At 37.7% G+C, this 20,249-nt stretch overlaps 1 protein-coding gene across 4 annotated transcripts in view, besides 1 other annotated feature; it reads left to right on the forward strand.

Moving 5' to 3' along the window:
- POLI (DNA polymerase iota) overlaps positions 1-17,869 on the forward strand; it is a 51,788-nt gene extending 33,919 nt beyond the window's left edge. For 2 of the 4 annotated variants that reach the window (NR_147257.1, NM_001351621.1), the window contains one exon: positions 16,876-17,869. Coding sequence is in view for 3 of the 4 variants with exons in the window: in NM_001351621.1 (NP_001338550.1) it covers positions 16,876-16,970 (95 nt within the window). In the remaining variant the exon portion in view is untranslated. Of the gene's footprint in view, positions 1-7,691; positions 13,161-16,875 lie in introns of those variants that run through there. The other 2 variants (XM_011525797.2, XM_005258192.5) reach the window with 2 other exon arrangements.
- Positions 5,907-6,457: an enhancer, noted in NCBI's record as "H3K4me1 hESC enhancer chr18:51835674-51836224 (GRCh37/hg19 assembly coordinates)". NCBI's record gives its function as "activates a minimal SCP1, AML or CMV promoter by ChIP-STARR-seq in primed H9 embryonic stem cells {active_cell/tissue: H9 hESC(primed)}" and the evidence as "EXISTENCE:reporter gene assay evidence [ECO:0000049][PMID:30033119]".
- Positions 17,870-20,249: the final 2,380 nt, after the last annotated feature.

Raw genomic sequence — 20,249 nt, forward strand, 5'->3', positions numbered from 1 at the left:
ATTACTATTTTCAACAAAGTCATTTTTATTCTATATGAGGTAATACAAATATTTGAATTATTTGGTGGGGGACTATAATTCTTTGTCTTATTTATTATTTCTGCTGACTACTCACATGCTGGCATTTTTCCTCATGTGCTCTGTGATTTTGGAGTGTGTGTTCATGTTTGCTAGCCTTTATTTGTGGAACTCCTGCAAGGTCTGGATGAGGATGTGTCACTCCAGGAAATATTTGCACTTGCTTCTGCTGGCACTTGGACTATTTTGTTAATTTCTTATCTTGCAAATTAAACCTCAAATCTTGGCAGACTGCAGGCATGCATTCTCAGATGATACTTCCACCTCTCTCCCAGTTCATTTTTCTTTTTTTTTTTTTTAATTATACTTTAAGTTCTAGGGTACATGTGCACAACATGCAGGTTTGTTACATGTGTATACATGTGCTGTGTTGCTTTGCTGCACCCATTAACTAGTCATTTACATTAGGTATTTCTCCTAATGCTATCCCTCCCCCATCCCCCCACCCCACAATGGCCCTGGTGTGTGATGTTCCCTGCCCTGTGTCCAAGTGTTCTCATTGTTCAGTTCCCACCTATGAGTGACAACATGTGGTGTTTGGTTTTCTGTCCTTGCGACAGTTTGCTGAGAATGATGGTTTCCAGCTTCATCCACGTCCCTACAAAGGACATGAACTCATCCTTTTTATGGCTGCATAGTATTCCATGGTATATATGTGACACATTTTCTTAATCCAGTCTATCATTGATGGACATTTGGGTTGGTTCCAAGTTTTTGCTATAGTGAGTAGTGACACAATAAACATACATGTGCGTGTGTCTTTATAGTAGCATGATGTATAATCCTTTGGATATATACCCAGTAATGGGATTGCTGGGTCAAATGGTATTTCTAGTTCTAGATCCTTGAGGAATCACCACACTGTCATCCACAATGGTTGAACTAATTTACACTCCCACCAACAGTGTAAAAGCGTTCCTATTTCTCCACATCCTCTCCAGCATCTGTTGTTTCCTGACTTTTTAATGATCGCCATTCTAACTGGCGTGAGATGGTATCTCATTGTGGTTTTGATTTGCATTTCTCTGATGACCAGTGATGATGAGCATTTTTTCATATGTCTGTTGACTGCATAAATGTCTTCTTTTGAAAAGTGTCTGTTCATATCCTTTGCCCACTTTTTGATGGGGTTGTTTGCTTTTTTCTTGTAAATTTGTTTAACTTCTTTGTAGATTCTGGATATTAGCCCTTTGACAGATGGGTAGATTGCAAAAATTTTCTCCCATTCTGTAGGTTGCCTGTTCACTCTGCTGATAGTTTCTTTTGCTGTGCAGAAGCTCTTTAGTTTAATTAGATCCCATTTGTCAATTTTGGCTTTTGTTGCCATTGCTTTTGGTGTTTTAGACATGAAGTCCTTGCCCATGCCTATGTCCTGAATGATATTGCCTAGGTTTTCTTCTAGGGTTTTTACGGTTTTAGGTCTAACATTTAAGTCTTTAATCCATCTTGAATTAATTTTTGTATAAGGTGTAAGGAAGGGATCCAGTTTCAGCTTTCTACATATGGCTAGCCAGTTTTCTCAGCACCATTCATTAAATAGGGAATCCTTTCCCCATTTCTTGTTTTTGTCAGATTTGTCAAAGATCAGATGGTTGTAGATGTGTGGTGTTATTTCTGAGGCCTCTGTTCTGTTCCATTGTTCTGTATCTCTGTTTTTCTGCCAGTACCATGCTGTTTTGGTTACTGTAGCCTTGTAGTGTAGTTTGAAGTCAGGTAGCATGATGCCTCCAGCTTTGTTCTTTTTGCTTAGGATTGTCTTGGCTGTGTGGGCTCTTTTTTGGTTCCATATGAACTTTAAAGTGTTTTTTTCCAATTCTGTGAAGAAAGTCATTGGTAGCTTGATGGGGATGGCATTGAATCTATAAATTACCTTTGGCAGTATGGCCATTTTCACGATATTGATTCTTCCTATCCATGAGCATGGAATGTTCTTCCATTTGTTTGTGTCCTGTTTTATTTCATTGAGCAGTGGTTTGTAGTTCTTGAAGAGGTCCTTCACATCCCTTGTAAGTTGGATTCCTAGGTATTTTATTCTCTTTGTAGCAATTGTGAATGGGAGTTCACTCATGATTTGACTCTCTGTTTGTCTGTTATTGGTGTATATGAATGCTTGTGATTTTTGCACATTGATTTTGTGTCCTGAGACTTTGCTGAAGTTGCTTATCAGCTTAAGGAGGTTTTGGGCTGAGACGATGGGGTTTTCTAAATATACAATCATGTCATCTGCAAACAGGGACAATTTGACTTCCTCTTTTCCTAATTGAATACCCTGTATTTCTTTTTTTTTTTAATTTCTTTTTTGAAACAGAGTCTCGCTCTGTCACCCAGGCTGGAGTGCAGTGGTGCTATCTCTGCTCACTGCAAACTCTGCCTCCTGGGTTCACGCCATTCTCCTGCCTCAGCCTCCTGAGTAGCTGGGACTACAGGTGCCTGCCACTACGCCTGGCTAATTTTTTGTATTTTTAGTAGATACGGGGTTTCACTGTGTTACTCAGGATGGTTTCGATCTCCTGACCTCATGATCCGCCCGCCTCAGCCTCCCAAAGTGCTGGGATTACAGGCGTGAGCCACCGCACCCAGCCCCCTTTATTTCTTTCTCTTGCCTGATTGCCCTGGCCAGAACTTCCAACACTATGTTGAATAGGAGTGGTGAGAGAGGGCATCCCTGTCTTGTGCCAGTTTTCAAAGGGAATGCTTCCAGTTTTTGCCCATTCAGTATGATATTGGCTGTGGGTCTGTGCTAAATAGCTCTTATTATTTTGAGATACGTGCCATCAATATCTAGTTTATTGAGAGTTTTTTGCATAAAGGGCTGTTGAATTTTGTCGAAGGCCTTTTCTGCATCTATTGAGATAATCATGTGGTTTTTGTCATTGGTTCTGTTTATGTGATGGATTATGTTTATTGATTTACGTATGTTGAGCCAGCCTTGTATCCCAGGGATGAAGCCCACTTGATCGTGGTGGATAAGTTTTTGATGTGCTGCTGGATTCGGTTTGCCAGTATTTTATTGAGGATTTTTGCATCAATGTTCATCAGGGATATTGGTCTAAAATTCTCTTTTTTGTGTGTGTCTCTGCTAGCCTTTGGTATCAGGATGATGCTGGCCCCCTAAAATGAGTTAGGGAGGATTCTCTCTTTTTCTGTTATTTGGAATAGTTTCTGAAGGAATGGTACCAGCTCCTCTTTGTACCTCTGGTAGAATTCGGCTGTGAATTCATCTGTTCCTGGACTTTTTTTGGTTGGTAGGCTATTAATTGTTGCCTCAATTTCAGAGCCTGTTATTGGTCTATTCAGCAATTCAACTTCTTCCTGATTTAGTCTTGGGAGGATGTATGTGTCCAGGAATTTATCCATTTCTTCTAGATTTTCTAGTTTATTTGTGTAGAGGTGTTTATAGTATTCTCTGATGGTAGTTTGTATTTCTATGGGATCGGTAGTGATATCCCCTTTATCATTTTTTATTGCATCTATTTGATTCTTCTCTCTTTTCATCTTTATTAGTCTTGCTAGCAGTCTAGCTAGCAAGAAAAGATCAACAAAATTGATCTTCTCAAAAAACCAGCTCCTGGATTCATTGATTTTTTGAAGGGTTTTTTGTGTCTCTATCTCCTTCAGTTCTGCTCTCATCTTAGTTATTTCTTGCCTTCTGCTAGCTTTTGAATTTGTTTGCTCTTGCTTCTCTAGTTCTTTTAATTGTGATGTTAGGGTGTCAATTTTAGATCTTTCCTGCTTTCTCTTGTGGGCATTTAGTGATATAAATTTCCCTCTATAGACACACTGCTTTAAATATGTCCCAGAGATTCTGGTACATTGTGTCTTTGTTTCAAAGAACATCTTTATTTCTGACTTCATTTCGCTATGTACCTAGTAGTCATTCAGGAGCAGGTTGTTCAGTTTCCTGGTAGTTGTGCGGTTTTGAGTGAGTTTCTTAATCCTGAGTTCTAATTTGATTGCACTGTGGTCTGAGAGACAGTTTGTTGTGACTTCTGTTCTTTTACGTTTGCTGAGGAGTGCTTTACCTCCAACTATGTGGTCAGTTTTGGAATAAGTGCGATGTGGTGCTGAGAAGAATGTATATTCTGTTGATTTGGGGTGGAGAGTTCTGTAGATGTTTATTAGGTCTGCTTGGTGCAGAGTTGAGTTCAAGTCCTGGATATCCTTGTTAACCTTCTGTCTCGTTGATCTGTCTAATATTGACAGTGGGGTGTTAAAGTCTCCCATTATTATTGTGTGGGAGTCTAAGTCTCTTTGTAGATCACTAAGGACTTGCTTTATGAATCTGGGTGCTCCTGTATTGGGTGCATATATATTTAGGATAGTTAGCTCTTCTTGTTGAATTGATCCCTTTACCATTATATAATGGCCTTGTCTCTTTTGATTTTTGTTGGTTTAAAGTCTGTTTTATCAGAGACTAGGATTTCAACCCCTGTTTTTTTTTTTGCTTACCATTTACTTGGTAGATTTTCCTCCATCCCTTTATTTTGAGCTTATGTGTGTCTCTGCACGTGAGATGGGTCTCCTCAATACAGCACACCAATGGGTCTTGACTCTTTATCCAATTTGCCAGTCTATGTCTTTTAATTGGGGCATTTAGCCATTTCCATTTAAGGTTAATATTGTTATGTGTGAATTTGATCCTGTTATTATGATGTTAGCTGGTTATTTTGCCCGTTAGTTGATGCAGTTTCTTCCTAGCCTCGATGGTCTTTACAATTTGGCATGTTTTTGCAGTGGCTGGTACCGGTTGTTCCTTTCCATGTTTAGTGCTTCCTTCAGGAGCTCTTGTAAGGCAGGCCTGGTGGTGACAACATCTCTCAGCATTTGCTTGTCTGTAAAGGATTTTATTTCTCCTTCACTTATGAAGCTTACTTTGACTGGATATGAAATTGTGGGTTGGAAATTCTTTTCTTTAAGAATGTTGAATATTGGCTCCCACTCTCTTCTGGCTTGTACAATTTCTGCCGAGCGATCCGCTGTTAGTCTGATGGGCTTCCCTTTGTGGGTAACCCGAGCTTTCTCTCTGGCTGCCCTTAACATTTTTTCCTTCATTTAAACTTTGGTGAATCTGACAATTATGTGTCTTGGGGTTGCTCTTCTCGAGGAGTATCTTTGTGGGTTCTCTGTATTTCCTGAATTTGAATGTTGGTCTGCCTTGCTAGGTTGTAGAAGTTCTCCTGGATAATATCCTGAAGAGTGTTTTCCAGCTGGGTTTCATTCTCCTCGTCACTTTCAAGTACACCAATCAAATGTAGATTTGGTCTTTTCACATAGTCCCATATTTCTTGAGGGCTTTGTTTATTGCTTTTAACTCTTTTTTCTCTATACTTTTCTTTTCACTTCATTTCTTTCATTTGATCTTCAATCACTGATACCCTTTCTTCCAGTTGATCGAATCGGCTACTGAAGCTTGTGCATGCATCACGTAGTTCTTGTGCCATGGTTTTCAGCTCCTTCAGGTAATTTAAGGTCTTCTCTACACTGTTTATTCTAGTTAGCCATTCGTCTAATCTTTTTTCAAGGTTTTTAGCTTCCTTGCAATGGGTTTGAACATCCTCCTTTAGCTCCTAGAAATTTGTTATTACCAACTTTCTGAAGCCTACTTCTGTCAACTCGTCAAAGTCATTCTCCCTCCAGCTTTGTTCCATTGCTGGCAAGGAGCTGTGATACTTTGGAGGAGAAAGGGTGCTCTGGATTTTAAAATTTTCAGCTTTTCTGCTCTGGTTTCTCCCCATCTTTGTGGTTTAATCTACCTTTGGTCTTTGATAATCGTGACCTACAGATGGGGTTTTGGTGTGGATGTCTTTCTTGTTGATGTTGGTGCTATTCCTTTCTGTTTGTTAGTTTTCCTTCTAACAGTCAGATCCCTCAGCTGCACGTCTGTTGGAGTTTGCTGGGGGTCCACTCCAGACCCTGTTTTCCTGGGTATCACCAGCGGAGGCTGCAGAAAAGCAAATATTGCTGCCTGATCCTTCCTCTGGAAGCTTTGTCTCAGAGGGGCACCCGGCTGTATGAGGTGTCAGTTGGCCCCTACTGGGAGGTGTCTCCAAGTTAGGCTACGTGGGTGTCAGGGAAGAGGCAGTCAGTCCACTCTCAGAGCTCAAACACCGTGCTGGGAGATGTCCCATGTCTTCAGAGCTGTCAGACAGGGATGTTTAAGTCTGCAGAAGTTTCTGCTGCCTTTAGTTCAGCTATGCCCTGCCCTCAGAGATGGAGTCTACAGAGGCAGGCAGGCCTCATTGAGCTGCGGTGGGCTCCACCCAGTTTGAGCTTCCAGGTTACTTTGTTTACGCAGTCAAGCCTCAGCAATGGTGGATGCCCCTCCCCCAGCGAGGCATGCCAAGCCACCTCGCAGTTCCATCTCGGACTGCTGCACTAGCAGTGAGCAAGGCTCCATGGGCATGGGACCTGCTGAGCCTTGCCTGGGATATAATCTCCTGGTGCGCCGTTTGCTAAGACCATTGGAAAACTGCAATATTTGAGTGGGAGTGTCCCGTTTTTCCAGATACAGTCTGTCAGGGCTTCCCTTGGCTAGGAAAGGGAAATTCCCCGGCCCCTTGTGCTTCCCAGGTGAGGTGATGCCCCACCCTGTTTCGGCTTGGCATCCGTGGGCTGCACCCACTGTCCAACCAGTCCCAGTGAGATGAACCAGGTACCTCAGTTGGAAATGCGGAAATCACCCGTCTTCTGCATCAGTCACACTAGGAACTGCAAACCAGAGCTGTTCCTATTCAGCCATCTTGTAGCGGACCCCTGTTTTCTTTTATTTTTATGGTTGGATTATTTTTTTCTAGTTCGCTGTTTTACTGAGAAGATAGTCCTTCAAGGTTCCTGAGCTGTCACATTCTAGTTACTCACCTTCTGTGGGTCCAAAGTCTTATCTCCTATCTTCAAACTTAGATTTAATCATTTTTTGTTTTCTTATTTGCAGACTACCACCACTTGTAAATAAGTTATAAGGATAGTGTGGAATTCTCTCTTATCCTGTTACCTCACAGTATTACCTACTATTTTTTTTTTTTCTGGGAGAAAGGTATGCTCTGCATTTCAGCCTTGTTTTATAAAATTGATTCATGTTAACAATTTTAGTTCACAAAGAGTGTTACACTTTTGATACATAGTGGTCAGGTTCTCACAATTTGGTGATATTTGGGTGTCCGCCCTTTCTTTTCTAAGTTGTATTTATTATATATTAGATATACTAAAGTCCTCAAATATTGAAAAAATCTTTTAAAAATATGTTAAAAGCTTTTGAGAAAACTATAAGCTTTTTTTCAAATGTATTAGTCAGGAAAATGGAACTGGTGTACATATTTTAAGTAAGAAGGAATTTAGTGTAGTGAATTAAATGCTTACAAAATAATTGAGAAGCTGAAGGAGTGAGTTCTAGGTTTGGCCGCCAGAAATGAATCTGAGAACTATACAGAATCAACCACCAGATAAGCTCTTTTTATTAAAAAAAAGTAGAGATGGGATCTCGTTATGTTGCCCAGGCTGGTCTCGAATGCCTGGCCTCAAGTGATCCTCCTGCCTTTGCTTCCTGAAGTGCTAGGAAGGATTACAGGCATGAGCCACTGTGCCCAGTCTAGCTATTTCTTTTGGATCTGTTGTAGAACTATGAATTGAAGAAAGTGAAATCAGTATGCTGCCACCCTGCCACTTCTTCTTGAAATCTGGAAAGCTGGAGAAGTTACTGACAATTGTAACCCAGTGATAAGGAACCAGGAATTGAGAAGCTGCTGTTGCCTCTGTTGTTGATGCATCTACCTCTTGGCACACAAGAGTCTGGTAGTTGGACACTGGAACACAGAAAAGAAGACTCACATATCCTTGTTTTTGCTAGCCATCAGAAATGGCAATAAAATAATAATAATAATGAAGAAACATGGCTTCTGCTTCACTAAGAAAGTACTATTGAATTACTATTGAAATTACTATTGAATTTTAAAAAGTGGTCAGTATAGTATATTTGTGTCATAGTGGTCATTCCTTTTTGTTTCAAATTACCAACTTGTATTCTAATAAAGTTTAGCCAATAGTTGATTTATCTAAACCAAACCTATGTAGATACATGTATACTGAGACAGAACAATTTGTGATGTTGACAGAAGAATATTTCATCTATTTAGGCTTAGCCAGACTATAGTGTTCTACTTCAATTGTCATCAACTTTTTTGATATAACACCCTAGCAGTGAAAAAAACTTGGGAGGTACACACTCACAGAATCTGTATATTTACTAAAGATGCACCAAAGTTTAGGTTTAGCCTTAGTATGCACTTCCTTGGTGTTTGGGTGGCCGAATAATCAAATAACTACATCAGCATCAATTTGTGGCATCCCATGAAATTGTGCACAAAATTATCATGTTCCTCACATAGTTTACATCATATCTAATCAGGATTAATGATTCTAGCCATAAAAATAGGGCATCACATTTAGATTTATTATTAACATCTGAATATTCACTTTCTTTTTTTAACTTTTATTTTAGAATTGAGGGATACGTGTGCAGGTTTGTTACAGAGATATATTGCATGATGCTGATATTTGGAGTACAAATGAATCCATCACCCAGATAGTGAGCATAGTATCCAATAGATAGTTTTTCAACCCTTGATCCCCTCTCTCCTTCTCCCTTATATTCCCCCCCAGCGTCTGTTGTTTCCATCTTTACATCCATGCATACCCAATGTTTAGCTCCCACTTATAAGTGAGAAAACGCAGTATTTGATTTTCTGTTTCTGTGTTTTTTGCTTAGGATAATGGTTTCCAGTGGCATCCATGTTGCTGCAAAGGACATGACTTTGTTCTTTTTTATGGCTGTGTAGTATTCCATGGTGTATATATGCCATATTATCTTTATCGAGTATATCATTGATGGGCACCTGGGTTGATTCCTAGGTGTTCATATGTCTTTGCTCTTGTGAATAGCGCTGCAGTGAACATATGGGTGCATGTGTCTTTTTGCTGGAATCATTTATTTTCCTTTGGGTATATACCCAGGAGTGGGATTCCTGGGTTGAATGATTGTTCAGTTCTTTGAGGAATCTCCAAACTGCTTTCCACAGTGGCTGAACTAATTTACATTCTCACCAACAGTGTGTAAGTATTCCCTTTTCTCTGTAGCCTCACCAGCACCTGTTATTTTTGACTTTTTAACAAAAGCCATTCTGACTGGTGTGAGTTGGTATTTCATTGTGATTTTGGATTGCATTTCTCTGATAATTAGTGATAAGCATTTTTTTCATATGTTTATTAGCTGCTTGTATGTCTTCTTTTGAGAAGTGTCTGTTTATGTCCTTTGCCCACTTTTTAATGGGGTTATTTGTTGTTTGCTTGTTGATTTAAATTCCTTATAGATCCTGGATATTAGGCCTTTGTTGGATGCATAGTTTGGAGATATTTTCTCCCATTCTGTAGCTTGTCTGTTTACACCTTTGATAGTTTCTCTTGCTGTGCAGAAACTCTTTAGTTTAATTAGGTCCCACTTGTCAATTTTTGTTTTCATTGTAATTGCTTTTGAGGACTTAGCCATAAACTCTTTGCCAATGCCAATATCGAGATGGGTGTTTCCTAGATTTTCTTCTAAGAATTTTGTAGTTTGATGGCTTACATTTAAGTCTAATCCATCTTGAGTTAATTTTGTGTATGGTGATAGGTGGGGGTCCAGTTGCATTCTTCTGCATATGGATAGCCAGTTATCCCAGCACCATGTATTGAATAGGCAGTTCTTTCTCTATTGCTTACATTTATCAACTTTGACAAAGATCAGATGGTTGTAGGTATGTGGCTTTATTTCTGAGTTCTTTTACTCTGCTCCATTGGTGTATATGTCTGTTTTTTAACCAGTAACTTTCTATTTTCGTTTCTGTAACCTTATAATACATTATACTTCGAAGTCAAGTAATATGATGTCCCCAGCTTTGTTCTTTTTGCTTAGGATTGCTTTGGCTATTTGGGCTTTTTTTTGGTTTTGTATGAATTTTAGAATAGTTTTTCTAATTTTGTGAAAAATGACATTGGTAGTTTGATAGGAATATCATTGAATCTGTAAATTACTCTGGGCACTATTACCATTTTAATGATATTCATTCATCCAATCAATGAGCATGGAATGTGTTTCCATTTATTTGTGTCATCTCTGATTTCTTTGAACAGTGTTTTGTAATTCTCATTGTAGAGATTTTTCACCTCCCTGCTTATGTGTATTCCTAGGCATTTAGTTCTTTTTGTAGCTATTGTGAATGGGATTGTGTTCTTGATTTGGCTGTCAGTTTTGATGTTGTTGGTATGTAGGAATACTACTGATTTTTGTACACTGATTTTGTATCCTGAAACTTTGCTGAAGTTATCAGATATAGGAACTTTTTGGCAGAGATTATGGGGGTTTCTAGATATATAATCATATTGTCTGCAAACGGGGATAGTTTGACTTCCTCTCTGGCTGTTTGGATACCCTTTATTCCTTTCTCTTCCTTGATTGCTGTGGCCAGGATTTCCAGTACTGTTGATTAGGAGTGGTGAGAGAGGGCATCCTTGCCTTGTTCTGATTTTCAAAGGGAATGCGTCCAGCTTTTGCCCATTCAGTATAATGTTGGCTGTGTATTTGTCATAGATGGTTTTTATTATTTTGACATATGTTCCTTTGATGCCTAGTTTGTTGAGGGCTTTTATCATGAGGGGATGTTGAATTTTGTCAAAAGCCTCTTCTGGATCCATTGAGATGATCATGTGGCTTTTGTTTTTAATTCTTCCTGGGATGCAAAGTTGGTTCAACATAATAATTTATTCACATTTATTGATTTGTATATGTTGAACCAACCTTGCATCCCAGGAAGAAAGCCTATTTGATTGTGGTTAATTAACTTTTTGATGTTCTGCTGGATTCAGATTGTTAGTATTTTGTTTATGGTTTTTGCATCAATGTTCATCAGCAATATTGGCCTGAAGTTTTCTTTTTTTGTTGTGTCTTTGCCAGTTTTTGGTATCAGGACGATGTTTGTTTCATAAAATGAGTTAGTGGGGAGTCCCTCCTCCTCAGTTTTCTTTGGAATAGTTTCAGTAGGATTGGTGCCAGCTCTTCTTTATATGTCTTATAGAATTCAGCTGTGAATCCATGTGGTCCAGGGCTTTTTTAAAAAATTATTACTGACTCAATTTTGGACTCATTAGTGGTCAGTTCAGGGTTTCAGTTTCTTCCTGGTTCAATCTTGAGATGTTGCATGCTTCCAGGAATTTATTCATTTCCTCTAGATTTTCTAGTTTGTGTGCATAGAGGTGTTCGTAATGGTCACTGGGTATCTTCTGTATTTCTGTGGGATCAGTTGTAATGTCATCTTTGTTTATTTCTGATTGTGTTTATTTGGATCTTCTTTTTTTCTTTGTTAATCTGATTAGTGGTCTATCAATCTTGTTTATTCTTTCAAAGAACCAACTTTTGATTTCATTGATCTTTTTGTATGGATTTTTGGGTCTCAGTGTTATTCTGTTATGCTCTGATTTTGGTTATTTATTTTTTTATGCTAGCTTTGCAGTCAGTTTGCTCTTGTTTTTCTAGTTCCTCTTCATGTAATGTTAGATTATTAATTTGAGATCTTTCTAACATTGATGTAGGCATCTAGTGCTATAAACTTTACTCTTATGACATTGCTTCAGCTGCGTCCAAATATTTTGGTATGCTATGTCTCTATTTTATTAATTTCAAAGATTTTTGGATATCTGCCTTACTTTCATTGTTTACCTGAAAGCCATTCAGGAGCAAGTTGTTTAATTTCCATGTAATTATATGGTTTTGAGAGATTTTTTGGTATTAATTTCTATTTTTATTGCACTGTGGTCTGAGAGTGTGCTTGGTGATTTCAATTTTTTTTCAATTTCTTGAGACTTGCTTTATGTATGGCCAAGTATGTGGTTGATCTTAGAGTATGTTTTGTGTGTGGATGAGAAGAATGTATATTCTGTGGTTGCTGGGTGGAATATTCTATAGATGTCTATTAGGTCCAATTGGTCAAGTGTTTGCTTTAAGTCCAGAATTTCTTTGTTAATTTCTACCTTAATGTACTGTCTAACACTGTCAGTGGGGTGGTGAAGTCTCTATTACTATGTGGCTAAGTCTTTTTGTAGGTCTAGAAGTAGTTGTTTTATGAATCGGTGCTCCAATGTTGGGCGCATATATATTTAGGATTGTTAAGTCTTCTTGTTGAATTGAACCCTTTGTCATTATATAATGCCCTTCTTTGTTCTTTTTGACTGTTTTTGATTTAAAGTCTGTTTTATCTGATACAAAAATAATGACCCCTATTCTTTTTTGTTTTCCATTTGCATGATGGATCTTTCTCCACCTCTTTACTTTGAGCCTCTGTGTGTCATTAATGTGAGATGGGTTTCTTGAAGACAGCAGACAGTTGGGTCTTGATTTTTTATCCAACTTGACATTTTATGCATTTTTTTTTTTTGAGACAGGGTCTTCCTTTGTTGCCTAGACTGGAATGCAGTGCTGTGCTTATAGCTCACTGCAGGCTTGAACTCCTAGGCTCATGCAATCTTCCTGCCTCAGCCTCCTGAGTAGCTGGGACTACAGGCATGTACCACCATGCCTGGCTAATTTGCTATTTTTTGTAGAGACAGGATTGCACTGTGTTGCCCAGACTGGTTTCAAAGTCCTGGGCTCAAGTGATCTTCCTGCCTTGGCTTCCCAGAAAGTTGGGATTATAGGTGTGAGCCACTGCACCAGACATCTATGCCTTTTAAGTTGGACATTTAGACTGTTGACATTCAAAGTTAATATTGGTATGGGACATTTTGATCCTGTCATCATGAATATGTACTTTCAACTATGGGTAAACATTCTAGATGTTACCTAATAAAATCTCATAAGCTTTTCTTGTGATTTCATCAGAGTCTAAATTTGTGATTATTATTGCAAAGAAAAATGTTGATATAATTGAAGATTGTGAAGCTTATTTTATGTACAAAACAATTATTAACAGCTTACAAATTATTGAGAGAGTGGATTAGCTTGGTCATTTTATGATGTAACATATTCTTTTTGAGTCCACAGAATAAAATGTGTGGTTATTTGTTTTGTGGTGTTATTTCAGTAATAGATAATAGCTATAAAAGTTGGTACATAAAAGTGGAGGGCTATACAACAAAACCCCAAATATGTGGTATTTAGGCTTTTGGGCAGTAGAGGGCTCAGAAAACTGTTAGCAGAGGCTGGAGTAACAATGAGGAAACTGCTTTAAGAAGTTCTTATGAAATATTTGGTAAAAGGAAAAAAAAGCTGCTTATAGTACATTGGAAAACAAAATATTGTACCTTATGAACTTTTGGCTTAGAATGTCTTCAGGCAAAATGTAGAAAGCACCACCTTGTGCACTTAACTGCATTAGATTAAAGTACTGTAAGGAAGTTGATTGAGGGTTGCTATTTGCAAGCGGAAGTTAAAGGTAATATATAGGAGTCTGGAATTACTAAATTGGAGAGTAGAACTGTTTCATCTCCAGCTTTTGGTTATACTATCTGAGATGTCCTCCTTTTTCCATCATTATCTTTTCAAAATTCTTTCTAAGAAATGATCATTTTTGGAAACTTATTGATTATGAGTTTAGACATGTGATTTTGCTAATGGAATGTTGGACTTTAGAAAGTGCTTACAATATTTCCACTTCCTCCCTTGCTCCCTTGCCTTCTTATGAGAACATACAAAGGCTAGGCTGCTAGTGGATGAAATTCATGAGGCAGAGCTAAGTCGCCCCAGTTACGTCAGCCCACCTCATCCTTTCTCAGATAACCCACAGCCAATTGCCAGGCATGTGAGTGAGCTCAGACTTAAGAGATAAAGTTAGATTTGTATGTCACTGAGATTTTGTGATTGTCTGTTACACATAATTGTGGCAGTTGATATTCATACAAGTGTGTACAGTAATATGCACAATAAAGCAACTTCATTATTAGAAAAAAATGAAGTATATTAAGAAAGTGTTAGCAAAAAAGTGTTAGTGAAAAACAAACTAATTTTGTTCTGACGAATTGAGTCCCAAAATAATCTTTAAGTGGTGGATAAATTTTAAAGCAGAACGTATTAAAATTATTTATTGGGCTGGATGCAGTAGCTTATGTTTGTAATCCCAGTGCTTTGGGAGGCTGAAGCAGGAGAATTGCTTGAGGCTAGGAGTTGGGAGACCAGCCTAGGCAATACAGCAAGACCCTGTCTTTACAAAAATTAAAAAAAATTAACCCAGTGTGGTGGCATATGCCTGTAGTCCCAGCTACTTGGGAGGGTGAGGCAAGAGGATCCCTTAAGCCCAGGAGGTCAAAGCTGCAGTGAGCTATGATCATACCACTGCACTCAAGCCTGGGCGACAGGCTTTAATAAACAAAAAGGATTTATTATAAATTGCTGTCTTTGGTAGTTGAAGATTAAGAATTTTTTAGATTCGCCAAAGCTATTAATCCTAAATCAAAGTTGATTCTGAAAATCATATAACTTAAAACCTATTCTAAGATTTAATGTCCAAAAAAATTAGTAATATAATTATGCATACCACTTGAACCTGGGTGTTTTATAATATTGAATTCGTGCAATATAGTATATGCCTTGAAGCTAGCTCACAGTTCTGAGAGGTTTTTTTTGTACTCTAATGACAAATTTTAAAATGTTGACTATTTTTAAAAACAAAGTTGTAATAAATATTTTTGGATAAAATTTCAGATTTATCTTTATATCGTAGTTTATTCTAAGATAGTAGTAATAATAGGAGCTGGGTTTAGTTTGACCAAATACTGATTTAAATACTCAGCTCTTTGTCCAAAGTGTGCTTTTAATTCAATGTACATCTATTTTTACTTATTTTAAAAGTGTAAACATGAACCACTGTCATTGGATAACATCTCAATATATGAAAGATATTTCTGGTGAAGTTCGTTTTCATTGACATTAGATATAATTTCATATTTCAAATAGTCTTGATAATTTCTATTTTTTGCTAGCTTATGAGATCTAAACTATATTGTCGTTTACTTTTAATATTGCAAAGATCTCATATTAGTAAAATTTCAGCTGCGTTCATGTTTGTATTATTAGTATTTTCAATCCTTAATTTCTTTGTAGAAATCTTTTAAACCAATTCACAATTTTCTGATGATTTTTTTCATTAAAAGTATATCTGCTTAACTGTACCCCTATAAAACATAATTTGTCAAAATATACTGAAAGCCAACAACCAATTTCAAACCTTCCACACTGTGGAACTCATCCTTATTTCTCAGAATATCTTTTATGCTCATGAATGGCTAGGTGAGGCACCAGAGTCAAGCTGCATATTCTGTATTAGTAAAGCTTAATTTTCTAAAAAAATAAATATAAATATAAGTTGTGCTATTTTATTTCTGCACTCTGGTGGAGCTTCTTTGCTTTTTTACTATAGATACTGGAATACCTTTCCAGATGCCTTTGCAGCCAGGTGTGAACAGTGTTCCATTTCTGGCTAATGAGATGTAAGCATCTTTCTTGGGGTTCCCAAGAAAGCTATGAAATAGGGCTAAACTCAGCTAAAATATCTTTTGCCTTTCACTCTTTTTCTTCCTGCTTAGAACATTGGGACAATGCCACCAGAAAGACAAATGCTATAAGCTAAGTATGGCAGAGCTGAGTGCTGTAAAGAGCCTTGGTCCCTAATGACATTATTAGGCCATCATATCAGATCTCTACTGCAGACTCCCAGACTTCTTGTGTGAGATCAATAAACCTCTCAACATTTATGTCCTCTATAAATCATATTTTTGTTGTTTGCAGCCAACGTTTTCTTAACTGATATAATAATGTTGCACTCCCCTCTATGGAAACCACAGTTCTGATTCATTAGTATTATGTGTCCAAAACCATGGTAGAGAAGGGACATTGAAAAGGGACATGGGGCATGGGGCATAAATAGTCTTGATAATTTCTCGATAAGACTATGACTATTTATATTTAGTTAAATATAAACATTTTTGTTTTGGTAAGTCCAGTAATGTCTGAATATCTGAAAGTATTAGAGGAGTTATATGGTAAGAAAGATAAGATTTATAGAAAAATCTAAGTTCAGAATTGTTAAATTATTTTTATTTGTCATATTGTTTGGATACCAGTATTACTTACCTTTAAACCTTTCCGTTTTGTGGGATTGTTATTATTATATATGGTACCTTCTGCAATACCTAGCTATTTAGAAGTAATCGAAGTGACAAAATACCATAATATATGGAGATGATGACAGGGCAAGGAGAAGGAATCAAACATGCAGTACCTGGTATTATTTCCTTTTAATTTGTTTGCTATTATTATTTACATTTTACCTTAAATAGGAGACAAGTTAATTAAATATCCAATTTTCCTATTTGTAAGACAAAGAAAAAACTTATGTTTGGCTTTCTGATTTCAAGATTTTTATCTTTCTTGGGATATGTATTTTATTAAAATGTGTAATTTGGTGATTTGTATGTTTATGAAGTTTAGGGGTGGCTGAAAGTCTCACATTCTTCTAAGAGTAAAGTCTAAATTGGAAAATAGTAAAAATTGCATACTCACAAAATTAGGCATATTCTAAATCATAGTATAACTACATCTTTAATTATGTCTCCCGAACATTCAGTAGAAAAGGGAAAATAACACTCAGAATCCCAGTAGATTTAGGAAGAGAGTTAGGAACAGAAGACAGTCTCCCTTTAGTTTTGCTCCTCTTTTAAATAGTAGTGGTTTTTTATGTGCCTTCCAGCTTCTCCCCCACTGTGCCCTTCTTCTTCCCACAGGTCTCCAGTCCCCAGATTTCTGTGCATCCTCTCTCATGCAAAGAAGGCTGGAAGACAAACTTGTGAAGCTAGAGGGTGTTTTTACTAAACACTAAAGGAGTTTTACTAAAGGAGTTTCAAGTGAGTGCCATGAAAAGACCTAATTATTCTTAAGGAGAATGGTATTTCTGTATGTTCCTACACTTGAATTTTGACAATATTTTTCTATGAAGCATCAGAGCTGTTCAAGCCACAATTCCAAAAGGGTGTGTGCTTTTTTAGATTTGATACATAATATTTTTGAATAAAAGTAGGCTTTTTGCTGGGGCTAAATATTAATATTCTTTAACAATCATTCCAATCCATAGAGTGAGATTACAAAATCTTTACTAAGGAAATTGCTTGTAAAGTGTAATGTCAAACAAATATTAATAACGTAAACACATTAACTATATATTGGTAAATAATGAGTGATATGGTAGATAAATGAAAAACAAATGCTATCGATTATGATATAGTTTTTAATGACATTCTTTTTTGGCTTGGATAGGCTTTTCTATTTTTTTTTTTAAACTTATTTTGAGATAATTGTAGATTTGCATGCAGTTTTGAAAAATAATAATACATAATAATAATACCATATTCCCTTTATCCAGTTTCTCCCCATGGTAATATCTTGCATACCTACAGTACTGTATCACAACTAGGAAAATGACATTGATACTACCCGCTGCCATTATTTAGATACTACCAGTTTTACATGCACTCATTTATGCATGTGTGTTAATTCTATGCAGTTTTATTGTGTGTATAGATTCATGTGACCACGCCACAGTCAACACACAGAACAGGTTTATCACAAGGATCCCTCCTGCCACCCTTTCAAAGCGAAAGCCACTTTCTTTCTGCTCCTCCCCCACCTCCCTAACCCCAGAAACCACTAATTCTGTTCATCTTTATCATTTTGTCATTTCAAAAATGTTAAATAAATGGAAGAATCCACTATTTAACCTTATGAGATTGGCTTTTTCATTCAGTATTATTCCTCTGAGACAATTCCAGTTGTTGTGTGCATCAATAGTTTGTTCCTTTTCATTACTTGGTAGTATTCCGTGTATGGATTACCAGTTTAGCTATTCACCCATGTGGGTTGTTTCCAGTTTTTGGCTATTTGGAATAAAGCTACTATCAACATTTGTGTACATGTTTTTGTGTAAATGCTTTCATTTCTATGGGATGAAGAGTACAATTGCTGGGTTGTACAGTAAGTATTTGTTTGATTTGCAAAACACTGCCGCACTTTTCAAGAGAGGCAGTTACTGTTTCACATTTCCAGGTGCAATGTCTGAGTGATCCACTTTCTCCAAATCCTTGCCAACACCTGATGTTATCACTATTTAAAAAAAAATTTAGCTATTCTGGTAAGCTTGTACTGATATGTACCCTTACCTAATAGCCAATGATGCTGAACATCTTTTGATATATGGGTATCTTAGTGAAATGTCCATGTCTTTGTCCCTAATTAGATTGTTTCTTACACAGTTGAGTTTTGAAAGCTCTTTATGTATTTTAGTTACAAGTACTTTGTTGGAAATGTCTTGCAAATATTTTTTTTCCAGTCTGTCACTTATCTTTCCATCCTCCTCACAGGTTTTTCACATAGCATACATTTTTTTAACTTTGATAAGGTCAATTTATCATTTTTTCTTTTAAGAATCATGCTTTTGGTGTCAAGTGTAATAACTCTGCCTAGTTGTAGGTTCTGAAAACTTTATCCTGTGTTTTTCTTCTAAATATTTTATAGTTTTATATTTTGCATGTAACTCCATATTCCATTTTAAGTAAATTTTCATACTTAGTGTAAGGTTAGATCAAGGCCTATGAATGTTCAGCTGCTCCAACACCATTTGCTGAAATGCTGTTCCACTGAATTGTTTTTAAACCTTTGTCGCCCATCAAATGTGATTTAATATACTCATGAGAACACTTTATTTTTACCCATTACAGTGTTCTTTCCTTTCTGAAGACCTCTGGATCCTATTTAATCTTCATTTTTAGCAGGCAGTCCTGCTGTTCAGGTGTAGTATAAGGACTGGGTGGATGTGTTGGTTCAGCCTTCCATTGGGCCCTGCCATCACCACTCTGGCAAAAGTAGAGCACAGACTGCCTCTCATTGCAGATGGGTGAGGTGGCAGCTCAGCTCCCCTTCTGGCCCTGCTGACATCCTCCTGGCAAAGGTGGGGCACTGATTTGCACATCCTTTTTGCTTTCCAGTGGGACTGGAAGCTTACCTCCCCAGTGGAACCTGATGACACAGGGGAGGTGACAAGGAAGTGGAGTGCTGCGTAGGCCCGTGTCCTACCTCTTTGTTTCACCTTGTTGATACCCAGGTGGGAATGGAGGCTCAGATCCCTGCTGAACCCTGCTAACACCAGAGAGGGTATATTAGTTTCCTTTGGCAACTATAACAAAGTTCCACAAATTTAGTGGCTTAAAAAGACAAATTTGTTGTCTCATAACTCTGGAGGCCAGAAGTCTGAGAGCAGGGCCACACTGCCTCTGAAAGCTCTAGGGGAGAATCCTTTTTCACTTCTTCCAGCTTCTGGTGGCTCCAAGTGTTCCTGGGCTGTGGCTGTAAAACTCCAGTCTCTACCTCTGTCTTCACATGGCTTTCTCCTCTTCTACGTGTCTCTATCCTCTATGTATCTCTTATAAGGACATTTGTTTTTGGATTTAGGGCCACCAGGATAATCCAGGGTGATCTCATCTTGAGGTCTTTAATTATCTTTGCAAAGACTCTTTTTCCAAATTAGGTCAGATTCACAAGTTCCAGGGATGTGACATGGACATTTTTTTGGTGGGTCACTGTTCCCACTACACCCTGATGCAGGGTGGGGATGGAGGCTTAGCATCCTGCTGGGCCTTGATGACTCCAGGGGTAAGAGTAGGGGTGGGAGAGGGTAGTGAAGCTCCCTGGTCACTAGCCTTTCTTTGCACTACCTAGCTGCTATGGGTTGAATGTCCCTCTGCTTTTATGAATGGATTAATGTTATTATCACAGAAGTGGCTTTGTTATAAAAGTGAGCTCTCTCTTGCTGTTACCCTCGTGTCATGTGATACCCTCCACCATGTTATGATGTAGCAAGAAGGCCCTCACCAGGTGTCGGTACCACACTCTTGGACTTCTCAGTCTCCAGAATTGTGAACTAAATAAACTTCTTTTCTTTATAATTTATACAACCTGTGGTATTGTTATAGCCCCAGAAAATGGACTAAGACATTGGTTAAGTCTCATTGCTGCCAGCTGGAGGTGGAAGCTGTCTTTGTCTCTGGACTTCACTCATACTGCCTATGTTACCTCCTGCTTCTGCTGAGTGGAAGATAGAAATCAGCTC

This window comes from Homo sapiens, chromosome 18 (assembly GCF_000001405.40).
Source record: "Homo sapiens chromosome 18, GRCh38.p14 Primary Assembly".
In the NCBI taxonomy this organism is placed as follows: Eukaryota; Metazoa; Chordata; class Mammalia; order Primates; family Hominidae; genus Homo; species Homo sapiens.